Source organism: Homo sapiens, chromosome 4 (assembly GCF_000001405.40).
Source record: "Homo sapiens chromosome 4, GRCh38.p14 Primary Assembly".
In the NCBI taxonomy this organism is placed as follows: Eukaryota; Metazoa; Chordata; class Mammalia; order Primates; family Hominidae; genus Homo; species Homo sapiens.
Window position 1 is genome coordinate 11799395 of NC_000004.12, and position 14098 is coordinate 11813492.

The following is a 14098-nucleotide window of genomic DNA, read 5'->3' on the forward strand; positions in this document are numbered from 1 at the left end:
CTGTGTTTGCTAAAGGTGTTTATTGAAGTTAGGCTCCTACCCTGTCACAGAGATTGGGAGACAGGGTTTCCATCTGTTGTGATAATTACATTTCAAAAGGATGGCTTCCAGGTTTTTGAGAAAGACATTCTTGGGTTACAGGAGATGCATCTCAATGGAGCAGAGAAAAGATGTTAAATTGTAAGTTTTCTAAAGAAAATGGGAAGTCAGCCCATGTTCATATATTGAATAGAACAAACAGTAAACTCTTTGACCATTTTTTCAGGCAGGACTTCAAGAGGTGGGGGTACACTGGGGTCACCCTAGGAACATAGTCTTGGTCTAATAAAAGGCATGTTGGGGTCTGAACACTTCTCCTAGTCAGGGGAAGGAGGAGAGGTAGGTGGACTAGGAGGAGTTGTTTATTTGAAGAGTTTTGTGGGGTTTTATTTTTCTAATAAGAAAAGCAATTGAAGATATCTCTTCTGTACATTATATATGTTTTTTGAAGAAAAACTAGTTGCCACTTTTATTCTAAATAATGATAGAGAAGAAACCATGTAAGAGGCTACCACATAAGCATCCTGGTTTTTGTTTGTTTGTTTTCATCATTTTATGTATATCTGTGCTAATAGGGATTCCTCTAAGGTCTTTGGCTTCACTCTTACTTCCTTGGGGATATGTATGATTATAATAATTATTATTTTTATAGCTGTGTCAGACATGGACTTCCTTCTTCTTTCCTCCTTTGAAAATAGCATCACATAGAATGTGTTGGAGATTGACACTTGCCTTCCCATCCAATAAATGAGCAGTCCTTGTGATTCAGTCTGTGAAATGCTTCTTGGGTTCAGAGCCTCAGCCCTGCAGTCAGTACCTCTCCTTGAGCACAGACTCCCTTCTATTCCCTTGTGCTTCTCTTTTCTACTACTCAGGAGCTAGTAGGGTCTTTGTAGAGTTTATCTGTAATTAAACACTCTAGGGACTCCTCATTACCTAAAAGATCAGAGGATTCATTTCTAAATCATTTATTGAACACCTGTTACAGGTTAGGTACTGCACAATTCCCCTCAAATTCACACAGTCATAGTAATCTAATTTTAGACTTTCCTAATGATATTTCTTGACAGTCTCAGCCACTATGAACTCTATTCACTATTTACATAGAAATACCAACTGTTCCCTTTATGCACTGAACTGCATCTTACCTCAATGTCTGCATATTCAATCCATCTGCTGAGAATGCCATTATGTAGTTTTCATCTGGTAAAATCATATTCAACTTTATGGTCCAACTCAAATATCAACTTTTCTTTATAAACCTATCTCACTACCTCTAGGCCTACTTAAGGTATCTCTTTTGGGTTCCTGCAACTGTTCATTAATTTGTATAAAGTCACACATCTGATTACATAAAAATTAAAGATTCATGCCCCCCCCCACAGCAAAAGAGTTTCTTTACAATAGAAAGTCTTATTTGATTGTATTTATAATTTTAGTATTCTAATATTATTGAAACTTATTTCTTCTTTCACTTGTTTCTTCACGCAGGAAATATTTACCAAATATCCCAGACCAGACATTCAATACATCTAATATTCCTTAAATATTACATGAGAAAGAAAGTCCATAATATGTGAAAGTCAGTAAGGATAAGCACTGAGATTAGACAGCCTGGATTCAGTTTTGGCTTTGCCATGTTCTATCATTCTTTAGAGAGATTTTTTAGTTTAATCTGGTGTTTGTTTTGTTTGTGTGTGAGTCTCTTACTCCTAATAAAGACATACCTGAGACTGGGTAATTTATAAAGGAAAGAGGTTTAACTGACTTACAGTTCCACATGGCTGGGGAGGCCTCACAATCATGGCAGAAGGCAAAGGAAGAGCAAAGTCGCGTCTTACATGGTGTCAGGCAAGAGAGAGCTTGTGCAGGGGAACTCTCATTTATAAAACCATCAGATCTCATGAGACATATTCACTACCAAGAGAACAGTATGGGGGAAACTGCCCCCCGTGATTGAATTATCTCCATCTGGCCCTGCCCTTGAAATGTGGGGATTATTACATTTCAAGGTGAGATTTGAGTGGAGACACAATCAAACCATATCAGTTTGCTTTTTAGCTAAACTATATAACCAATATAAAACACAAAGTTTGGGCCTGACATAGAATAGATCATTCAGAAACACTGATGACTGAATGGAATAGTTAATGAACTCTGGCCCACCAGTTGCATGATAAGCTCAGTCTGATGAGCTACATTGTTTCATGTTTATCTCAAATACCTACAGGGAAAGCAAACTGGTTTTACTGTATCGTTTTTAGTTCCCCTCAGAAAGGAAAGACAAGGGTAGATTAAGTAAATAATTAATAGAAAAAAAGGGTTTTTTTTTCAGATAATGTAGGTGATGACTTATGTGAATGAGAATCACTTGCTTACTCCTGTACATGGACGTTATAAATCATTCACTTAATTTTCTTTTCCTGTTCAGGACAGCGCTAATTTAAACTATAAAAGCAGATTGCTCTGCCTTTTGGAGGCCTCTGCTTTTGTACATGGCCTGATTTTCCCCCTTGCAGTGTTTTCTCTTTTATATCCAAACAAAGGAAATGGATATGGACTTTGGATGCACATTCATTCCAGATAACCGAGGGAGGATCTTACCATAGTGGCGAAGTCATAATAAACTCCTGGTTACATATCAAAATATTTATTACTGTTCGACTGGGATAAAGGTGTGGTAGCTTTATCACCCCATTACAGGTTTCCTGTGACTCTGGAAAAGGAAGCATTCTTCTGCATTTACTGTTTTCATTAACTTTCCCTGTTTTTTTCTCCTTGTGTGTGTGTGTAGGGTATTTTTCCTCTGGAAATGAGCTGACTAGGCACGCTACTTCTACTTGAAAAAGACTGATGCTTGTCTTACACCATTTTGAGGTCACCACAGTACATGACTCAGAATCATTAGACAAATGTTGATTGAATATCTCCTACATTCCAAATACTGTGTTGAATGTGGTTAAAGCATTAAATGTTAATGGAATATTTTGTACAGTCAAGAAGTGATTGCTGTCATAGAAGAGACACAACACACTGGTAGAACACAGCAATGAAATTTGACTTGTGATGTATGTCCAGAAAAAGATAGATAACACATTCTCTAAAAGTTTAGAAGAAATTTTTGTCCCTTGGATTGTAGTCTTGACTGATTAAGAAACAGAACAACTTAGTTGAATACTGAGCATTGATTCGCAATCTAATGGTGCCTGGGGATGCCACCTGTTTTCTCGCAATTAAAATTTAAAAACAAAATTATACAAAGAGCAATTGGAGTTTAAAACAACTGTAAAGAAAACAATTAGAACAAAAATCCATTAAATTGAAAATAGTAAAACAAAGGGAAAATGAACATAATAAAAAACTGTTTTTATCAAAAGACTAATAAACAATTTTGATTGAAGACACAGGTTACCAACATCAGAAATGAAAGAGGAGATGATCACCAATCATCCTGAGACATTAAAGGATAAAAACAGAATACTATTTGTAACTCTATGCCTACAAACTTGACAACTTTCATGAAATGGACCAATTCTATGAAAGGTACAAACTACCAAAATTCCCAAGGAGATATAACTAATTTGAATAAACCTATTTATGTTAATAAAATTGAATTGATAATTAACAACCTTCCATAAAAAGAAAACACCAGGCTCAGATGCTTTTAAATTGAACCAAATATTTCAATAAAATAATAAAATAAACTATACCAATCCTCTATAATTTTTCCAGAAAATTGAATTGGAGGGAAAACATTCTAAATCACTCATTGTGTGAGGCCAGCATTACATTAGTACCAAAATCAGAAAGAAAATTACAAAAAAGAAAAACTATAGCCTAACATCTTTCATAAACATAACAGCAAAAATCCTGAAGAAGTATTAGTAACTAGCATCTAACAATATATAATAAAACTATACACCATGATGAAGTGAGCTTTAACCCAGGTAATGAAGACAGTTTCAACATTTGGAAATCAATCATTGCAGTTAACTTCTTCAACAAGCTAAAGAAGAAAAATAAGATGATCATATCAGTTGTCTCAGAAAATGCATTTGACGAAATGTAGCACTCATTCATGATACAAACTCTTAGCAAATTAAAAATATAGGGGCACTTCCTTAACTTCATAAAGAACATCTACAAAAGTTCTTTGTCTAATATGTATTCAATGGTGAGAAACTTAATTGTTTCTCCCAAGACTGGGTATAAGGTAAGAATGTCTTCTCTCTTTACACCTATTCAACACTGCGCTAGAAGTCCTAGCTAGTGCAATGAAATAAGAAATGGTAAGTAAAGTACACAGATTTAAAAGGAAGAAACAAAAAGAAATCTTTATTCACACATGACATGATTGTCTACGTAGGGAATTAGGAAAAGTGGACAAAAGCACTCCTTGTAACTAATAGACAAATATAGCAATCTCACAGAATATAAGGTTAATATAGAACATTCAAGCCATCTTTTTGCTTCCATCCTTGCCATGTGACATACTGTTTCCCTTTCACCTTCTGCCATGATTGAAAGCTTCCCAAGTCCCTCAACAGAAGTAGATGCTGGCACCATACTTCCTGTACAGCCTGTAAAACCATGAGTCAATTAAACCTCTTTTCTGTCTATGTATATTCTCTCTATATGTATATATATATATATATATATATATATATATATATATATATATATATATTTCTATGTTCCTTCTATATGTATTTGTGTATATATTCTTTATATATATTTATATACAAATATATAATTCAATCAATTGCCTACATATCAAAGAATTATTTAGAAATCAAATTAAATTTGAACTTTACTTTAAAGAAACCAATAGCAATGTTACATCTGGAGCAATTTGAACAACAAAATAAAGTAATATTAAATTATAGCTCAAAGTATAAAATAAATATCTTTGAGTCCAACTGATATAAATGTGACTGACTAAATAAATAGAGAGGGGACAAATGTCTCATGCAGAAGAATTCCAAATAATTTTTGTAACTATTTTATTCTTAGGAAGGGGAGCATAACTCCTCATTCCTTAAGTGTAGATCCCTCATAATCACTTCCTTCCAAAGGGTATACCATGGAAAGGGAATAAAAATGTAACTTTACAGTGGAGAAATCTGACAAATGCCATTTCAGCCAGGTGATCAAAGTCAACATCAACAGTGATAAGTCTTGCTGGAGTCTGAGAAAGTGTTACAGCCAGGAAGAGCCTTAGAAGATTAAATATGATAAGGCATCCTGAAACAGAAAAAAACAGGCCTTAAATAAAAAGTAGGAAAATCTGATTAAAGTGTGGACTTTAGAAAATAATAATGTATCAATATTAGTTTATCAGTTGTGACTAATTCCCATGCAAAGGTAACACAGTAACAATAGGAAAACTACGTGGAAAGAGTAGATAGAAAGAAACTCTCTGTATTATATTCCCAATTTTTCTGTAAATGTAAAGTTGGTCTAAATATAAAGTATAATTTGAATACATATGGGATGTTTCTGAGACATAATCACAGCTTAATGCTGCAAATAAGGATTTGAAAGAATGCTACATTTTGCAGTAAAAATAGTCCAATTTTTTTTCCTGTTTTGTTCTGTAGAAGCCTGATGACCTTGACAAAGTCATTTAACATTTCAAATATCACTTTCCTCATCTCAGAAATAACTACAGCCTTTCTTCCCCTGCTTCATAGGATTGTTGTGAGGATTAAGTTATTCAATACATGGGAAAAAAGATAGATATTGTCATGTGCAGACAGGGAGATATGACAGAATACAAAACATTCAAGGAGAATTAAGAGATAAGGACATAACAGAAGCACAAAAGAATTAATGTGAATTAAGTAGAGAGACATTCTAGTCCTAAAAGGAAAACAGAAAGAAACTCCCAAGCTACTGTTTATATTTAAAAATTATTGAACGGCTTGGTGACTGAGCTTGTTCTAATTTAACTTCTACTCCAGACCACCTTTTTTGTGACCTTCAACAAATCACTTGTCTTCTTTTATTTTGCTTTTCTCATCTGTAAATGAGACATCATCATATTTTCTCCCTAAGTTTGTTGTCAAAAAGCCAGTCACATAGCATTTAGGTAGCAATGGTAGATCTTGATTCAACAGTAAAATCTGTCCCCACCCATCTTATAAAAATTTTCTTATTAACCCAAGCCTCTTAATTCCTAATGAATCATGCTAATTTCCTCAAGGTTATCACTGCTGTACTTCAGTTGGCTGATGTTTATGGATGACTAAAGACTTTGCTGATAACTGTGAAAAACTGTAACAATTATCTTTGACCCATAAACTTAAACAAAACTGCATACTTTATTCCATTTAATCAAAATATCTACTTTTTCCAGGTGAATTAATAAGTTTTAAACACCTATGACAATAAGATGCTTTTACAACATTTTGCTTAATGAAATCAATCCTGTAATATTCTCCCATTTCTCTGGTAAATAAAACTCTATTCGTCCTTCCAGTTTGAGCTTAAATATCTTGTTCATGAAATATTTTTCAAGTACCCCAGTAAACTGACTTCCTTATTCACTGCCTGTTGCAATCACATTTAAATTTCTAACACATTGCTCTAAGCTGCCATGCATTATCTGTATTCTCCCCACTAGGTGGCAATTCAATAGCAGGGTGTGTTAGAACTATTTCTATGCTCTCCTTAGCCTCATCTTCCCACACAAACTATGCCTACCACTATGTTTTCCACATATGGGGTGTTTTGTTTGTGGCCTTAGTGCTTGTTGAATTTCATTAATGTCATCTCTCCCTGCTAGACTGTGAGTCCCCTAAAGAACTCACAATGGCAGAAATTATACTTTTATTTATGTGTTAATTTGTGTCAGGCCTCTGAGCCTAAGCTAAGCCTTCATATCCCCTGTGACCTGCATGTACACATCCAGATGGCCGGTTCCTGCCTTAACTGATGACATTCCACCACAAAAGAAGTGAAAATGGCCTGTTCCTGCCTTAACTGATGACATTCCACCACAAAAGAAGTGAAAATGGCCTGTTCCTGCCTTAACTGATGACATTATCTTGTGAAATTCCTTCTCCAGGCTCATCCTGGCTCAAAAGCTCCCCTACTGAGCACCTTGTGACCCCGACTCTGCCCGCCAGAGAGCAAACCCCCTTTGACTGCAATTCTCCTTTATCTACCCAAATCCTATAAAACGGCCCCATCCTTATCTCCCTTCGCTGACTCTCTTTTCGGACTCAGCCTGCCTGCACCCAGGTGATTAAAAGTTTTATTGCTCACACAAAGCCTGTTTGGTAGTCTCTTCACACTGACGCGCATGAAATTTGGTGCCGTGACTCGGATCGGGGGACCTCCCTTGGGAGATCAATCCCCTGTGCTCCTGCTCTTTGCTCCATGAGAAAGATCCACCTACAACCTCAGGTCCTCAGATTGACCAGCCCAAGAAACGTCTCACCAATTTCAAATCCTGTAAGCGGCCTCTTTTTACTCTCTTCTCCAACCTCCCTCACTATCCCTCAACCTCTTTCTCCTTTCAATCTTGGAGCCACACTTCAATCTCTCCCTTCTCTTCATTTCAATTCCTTTCATTTTCTAGTAGAGACAAAGGAGACACGTTTTATCCGTGGACCCAAAACTCCGGCACCGGTCACGGACTGGGAAGGCAGCCTACCCTTGATGTTTAATCATTGCAGGGATGCCTCTCTGATTATTCACCCACATTTCAGAGGTGTCAGACCACGCAGGGACCGCCTGCCTTGGTCATTCACCCTTAGTGGCAAGTCCTGCTTTTCTGGAGGAGGGGCAAGTACCCCAACCCCTTCTCTCCATGTCTCTACCCCTTCTCTGCTTTTCTGAAGGACAGGCAAGAACCCCTCAACCCCTTCTCCTTCACCCTTAGCAGCAAGTCCCGCTTTTCTAGGGGGCAAGAATCCCCAATCCCTTATTTCCATGCCCTGAACTCTTATCTCTGTGCCTCTACCCCTTATTTCCGTGCCCCAACCCCTTTCCTGCTTTTCTGGATGGTAAGAACCCCCGAACCCCTTCCCTCTGTGTCTCTACTCTCTCTTTTCTCTGGGCTTCCCTCCTTCACTATAGGCAACCTTCCACCCTCCATTCCTCCTTCTTCTCCCTTAGCCTGTGCTCTCGAGAACTTAAAACCTCTTCAACTCACACCTGACATAAAATCTAAATGCCTTATTTTCTTCTGCAATGCTGCTTGACACGAATACAAACTTGACAGTGGTTCCAAATAGCCAGAAAACGGCACTTTCAATTTTTCCATCCTGCAAGATCTAAATAACTCTTGTTGTAAAATAGGCAAACAGTCTGAGGTGCCTGACCTCCAGGCATTCTTTTACACATCAGTCCCTCCCTAGTCTCTGTGCCCAGTGCAACTCATCCCATATCTTCCTTCTTTCCCTCCCACCTGTCCCCTCAGTCCCAACCCCAAGTGTCAATGAGTCTTTCTAATCTTCCTTTTCTATAGACTCATCTGACCTCTCCCCTCCTCGCCCGGCCGAGCTAGGTCCCAATTCTTCCTCAGCCTCCGCTCCTCCACCCTATAATCCTTTTATCACCTCCCCTCCTCACACCCAGTCAGGCTTACAGTTTCATTCCGCGACTAGCCCTCCCCCACATGCCCAGCAATTTGCTCTTAAAAAGGTGGCTGGAGCTAAAGGCATAGTCAAAGTTAATGCTCCTTTTTCTTTATCCCAAATCAGATAGCGTTCAGCCTCTTTTTCATCAAATATAAAAATCCAGCCCAGTTCATGGCTCATTTGGCAGCAACCCTGAGATGCTTTACAGCCCTAGACCCTAAAAGGTCAAAAGGCCGTCTTATTCTCAATATACATTATATTACCCAATCTGCTCTCGACATTAAATAAAACTCCAAAAATTAAATTCCAGCCCTCAAACCCCACAACAGGACTTAATTAACCTCGCCTTCAAGGTGTACAATAATAGAGTAGAGGCAGCCAAGTAACAGTGTATTTCTGAGTTGCAATTCCTTGCCTCCACTGTGAGACAAACCCCAGCCACATCTCCAGCACACAAGAACTTCCAAACACCTGAACCGCAGCAGCCAGGCGTCCCTCCAGAGCCGCCTCCCCCAGGAGCTTGCTACAAGTGCCAGAAATCTGGCCACCAGGCCAAGGAATGCCTGCAGCCCAGGATTCCTCCTAAGCCTCCTCTCGTCTGTGCAGGACCCCACTGAAAATCACACTGTTCAACTCACCTGGCAGCCATTCCCAGAGCCCCTGGAACTCTGGCCCGAGGCTCTTTGACTGACTCCTTCCCAGATCATCTCAGCTTAGCAGCTGAAGACTGATGCTGCCCCATCGCTTCGGAAGCCCCGTAGACCATCAAGGATGCCGAGCTTTAAGTAACTCTCACAGTGGAGGGTAAGTCCATCCCCTTCTTAATCAATACGGAGGCTGCCCACTCCACATTACCTTCTTTTCAAGGACCTGTTTCCCTTGCCTCCATAACTGTTGTTAAGTATTGACGGCCAAGCTTCTAAACCTCTTAAAGCTCCCCAACTCTGGTGCCAACTTAGACAATACTCTTCTAAGCACTCCTTTTTAGTTATCCCTACCTGCCCAGTTCCCTTATTAGGCTGAGACACTTTAACTAAATTATGTGCTTCCCTGACTATTCCTGGGCTACAGCCGCACTGCATTGCCACCTTTTCCCCCAGTTCAAAGCCTCCTTCACATCCTCCCCTTGTATCTCCCCACCTTAACCCACAAGTATAAGATATCTCTACTCCCTCCTTAGCAACCGATCTTGCACCCCTTACCATCCCATTAAAACCTAATCACTCTTACCCCACTCAATGCCAATATCCTATCCTACAGCATGCTTTAAAAGGATTAAAGCCTGTTATCACTCACCTGCTACAGCACAGGCTTCTAAAACCTATAAACTCTCCTTACAATTCCCCCATTTTACTTGTCCTAAAACCAGACAAGACTTACAGGTTAGTTCAGGATCTGCGCTTTATCAATCAAATTGTTTTGCCTATCCACCCCACGGTGTCAAACCCATATACTCTCCTATCCTCAATACCTCCTTCTACAACCCATTATTCCATTCTAGATCTCAAACATGCTTTCTTTACTATTCCTTTGCACCCTTCATCCCAGCCTCTCTTTGCTTTCACTTGGACTGACCCTGACACCCATTAAGCTCAGCAAATTACCTGGGCTATAAAGCCGCAAAGCTTCACAGACAGCCCCCGTTACTTCAGTCAAGCCCAAATTTCATCCTCATCTGTTACGTATCTTGGCATAATTCTCATAAAAGCACACGTGCTCTCCCTGCTGATTGTGTCCAATTAATCTCCCAAACCTGAATCCCTTACAAAACAATGACTCCTTTCCTTCCTAGGCATGGTTAGCGTGGTCAGAATTCTTACACAAGAGCCAGGACTGCACCCTGTAGCCTTTCTGTCCAAACAACTTGACCTCACTGTTTTAGCCTAGCCCTCATGTCTGTGTGCAGCAGCTGCCGCTGTTTTAATACTTTTAGAGGCCCTAAAAATCACAAGCTATGCTCAACTCACTCTCTACATTTCTCATAACTTCCAAAATCTATTTTCTTCCTCATACCTGATGCATATACTTTCTGCTCCCTGGCTCTTTCAGCTGTACTCACTCTTTGTTGAGTCTCCCACAATTACCATTGTTCTTGGCCTGGACTTCAATCCAGCCTCCCACATTATTCCTGATACCACACCTGACCCCCATGACTGTATCTCTCTGATCCATCTGACATTCACCCCATTTACCCATATTTCCTTCTTTCCTGTTCCTCACCCTGATCACGCTTAATTTATTGATGGCAGTTCCACTAGGCCTAATTGCCACACACCATCAAAGGCAGGCTATGCTATAGTACAAGCCACTAGCCCGCCTCTTAGAACCTCTCATCTCCTTTTCATTGTGGAAATCTATCCTCAAGGAAATAACTTCTCAGTGTTCCATCTGCTATTCTACTACTCCTCAGGGATTATTCAGGCCCTCTCCCTTCCCTACACATCAAGCTCGAGGATTTGCCCTGACCCAGGACTGGCAAATTAGCTTTACTCAACATGCCATGAGTCAGATAACTAAAATACCTCTTATTCTAAGTAGACACTTTCACTGGATAGGTAGAGGCCTTTCCTACAGGGTCTGAGAAGGCCACCGCAGTCATTTCTTCCCTTCTGTCAGACATAATTCCTCAATTTAGCCTTCCCACCTCTATACAGTCTAATAACAGACCAGCCTTTATTAGTCAAATCAGCCAAGCAGTTTTTCAGGCTCTTAGTATTCAGTGGAACCTTTATATCCCTTACAGTCCTCAGTCTTCAGGAAAGGTAGAACAGACTAATAGTCTTTTAAAAACACACCTCACGAAGCTCAGTCACCGACTTAAAAAGGACTGGACAATACTTTTACCACTTTCGCTTCTCAGAATTCAGGCCTGTCCTCAGAATGCTACAAGGTACAGCCCATTTAAGCTCCTGTATAGACGCTCCTTTTTATTAGGCCCTAGTCTCATTCCAGACACCAGACCAACTTAGACTGTGCCCCCCCAAAATCTTGTCATCCCTACTATCTTCTGTCTAGTCATACTCCTATTCACTGTTCTCAACTACTCATACATGCCCTGATCTTGTTTACACTGCCGGTTTATACTGTTTCTCCAAGCCTTCACAGCTGATATCTCCTGGTGCTATCCCCAAACTGCTGCTCTAAACTCTTGAAGTAAATAAATAATCTTTGCTGGCAGGACTATGCTGAATCTCCTTAGGCACTCTCTAATCAGATGTCCTAGGTCCTCCCAATTCTTAGACCTTTTATACCTGTTTTTCTCCTTCTCTTATTCCATTTAGTTTTTCAATTCATACAAAACCATATCCAGGCCATCACCAATAATTCTACACAACAAATGTTTCTTCTAACAACCCCACAGTATCACCCCTTACCACAAAATCTTCCTTCAGCTTAATCTCTCCCACTCTAGGTTCCCATGCCGCCCCTCATCCCACTCGAAGCAGCCCTGAGAAACATCGCCCATTATCTCTCCATACCACCCCCAAAAATTTTCACCGTCCCAACACTTTACCACTATTTCATTTTATTTTTCTTATTAATATAAGAAGACAGGAATATCAGGCCTCTGAGCCCAAGCTAAGCCATCATAACCCCTGTGACCTGCATGTGCGCAACCAGATGGCCTGTTCCTGCCTTAACTGATGACATTGTCTTGTGAAATTCCTTCTCCTGGCTTATCCTGGCTCAAAAGCTCCCCTACTGAGCACCTTGTGATTCCCCACTCTGCCCGCCAGAGAGCAACCCCCCTTTGATTGTAATTTTCCTTTATCTACCCAAATCCTATAAAATGGCCCCACCCTTATCTCCATTTGCTGACTCTCTTTTCGGACTCAGCCTGCCTGCCCCCAGGTGATTAAAAGCTTTATTGCTCACACAAAGCCTATTTGGTAGTCTCTTCATAGGGATGTGCATGAAATTTGTTTGTGTGTTTGTTTTTGTTTATTCATTAATAATCCATCAATCTATATCAAGGACATATAAGGAGATAGAAAAGAGAGAGGAGAGTGAAGAAGAGGAGACTAGAAGCAACAAGAAGCACTTGCACTGGAAATAATCCCTCTTCTGCAACAGGCATAGCATTGAGGTATCGAGGACTAAATAAAGGGATCTGTTTTGATCTTCAGTAGGAATGAGATTGGAAACACTGACTTTCTAAATGTGAAGCTATAGTGGGAGAATTAACAGAAGAACCAACATTTGAGGAACAAGTCAAATAATCAGGGCTGACTTTCACAATGACTGGAGAAGCAAACCTGTCATAAGAAGGGCAAACACACAAAACCAAGCTAGAATCTCAAAAAGCCAGGGACAAGTGAATATTCTGAACAGGTCATGGCACAGGGCCTGTGACAACCCTGAGCTAGTCTAAACAGCCTTGCACTTATTATCACTCGTGAAGCCTAGGACAGGACACCTTAAATTAGGTGGTACTAGGTGGGAAATAACAGTGATATTGACAAGACAGAATGTCAAGATCTAAGTGAATAGGAAGTATATGGAGTAGTGGTTACAGTGATTAGGGTTGGAGATATGACAGAATACAAAACATTCAAGGAGAATTAAGAGATAAGGACATAACAGAAGCACAAAAGAATTCATGTGAGTTAAGTAGGGAGGCATTCTAGTCCTAAAAGGAAAACAGAAAGAAACTCCAAAGCTACTGGTTATATTTAAAAATTATTTAACAGCTTGGTGAGTGAGCTTGTTCTAATTTAGCTTCTACTCCAGACCACCTTCGGTGGAGGGCGGTGGGCAGCATAATGCCATATACCTACGTCATAGCCACTAGAAGATTATAATAAACTTAACCTTCAAACAACTGATAATTAACTTTGAAGTGATGTACCAAAGGCAATATATGTTTCACAGACTGAGAAAGAGTGGCTAAGTACGTATGCCTCCTGTATCAAGATGAAGTAACTACCCTTCTCATCAGATCTGGAGAGGTCTCCAAGCTGTATCTGCCACCTTCTAGAGGGATCTAAAATAAAATTAGCATTCTAAACCAAAGTAGGAGAGTCAAGGACAGTTAAGAAGCCAAACAATTCACAGGACCCAAATGTTAGGTTGTGCTGTTCTGAATTCTCTTCAAGGACGAATGAGGGCTTGTATAGAAACTAGATGGCCCTGAGGTGAAGTTTATCCACACCCTCAGATGCAGGTGACTGGAAAACAGAAGCTGAAAGATGGAAATGTGGCCATGTCCCCTCAGTGTTTTTGAGATAAATGTATTTTATCATCTAACTCATTTAACTCATTTATTTCATAGAATACTCATCTAACTCATTTATTTCATAGAATACTCATTAAAAGCAGAGAAAACAGGAATGGTCCTGGGCCAGAAGATTTACTATCTTGAACACATTCAGTTTGCTAATTAAATACGCATCCATCACCCAAATCTATGAAGATTCTACTTGGCAAGGCCATTAAAATATGCAAATAATTATTCATCCAGACTTAAAATG

General features: G+C 39.6%; 1 annotated feature.

Annotated features, from left to right (window-relative positions):
- Positions 6682-7311: an enhancer, noted in NCBI's record as "OCT4-NANOG hESC enhancer chr4:11807700-11808329 (GRCh37/hg19 assembly coordinates)". NCBI's record gives its function as "activates a minimal SCP1, AML or CMV promoter by ChIP-STARR-seq in primed H9 embryonic stem cells {active_cell/tissue: H9 hESC(primed)}" and the evidence as "EXISTENCE:reporter gene assay evidence [ECO:0000049][PMID:30033119]".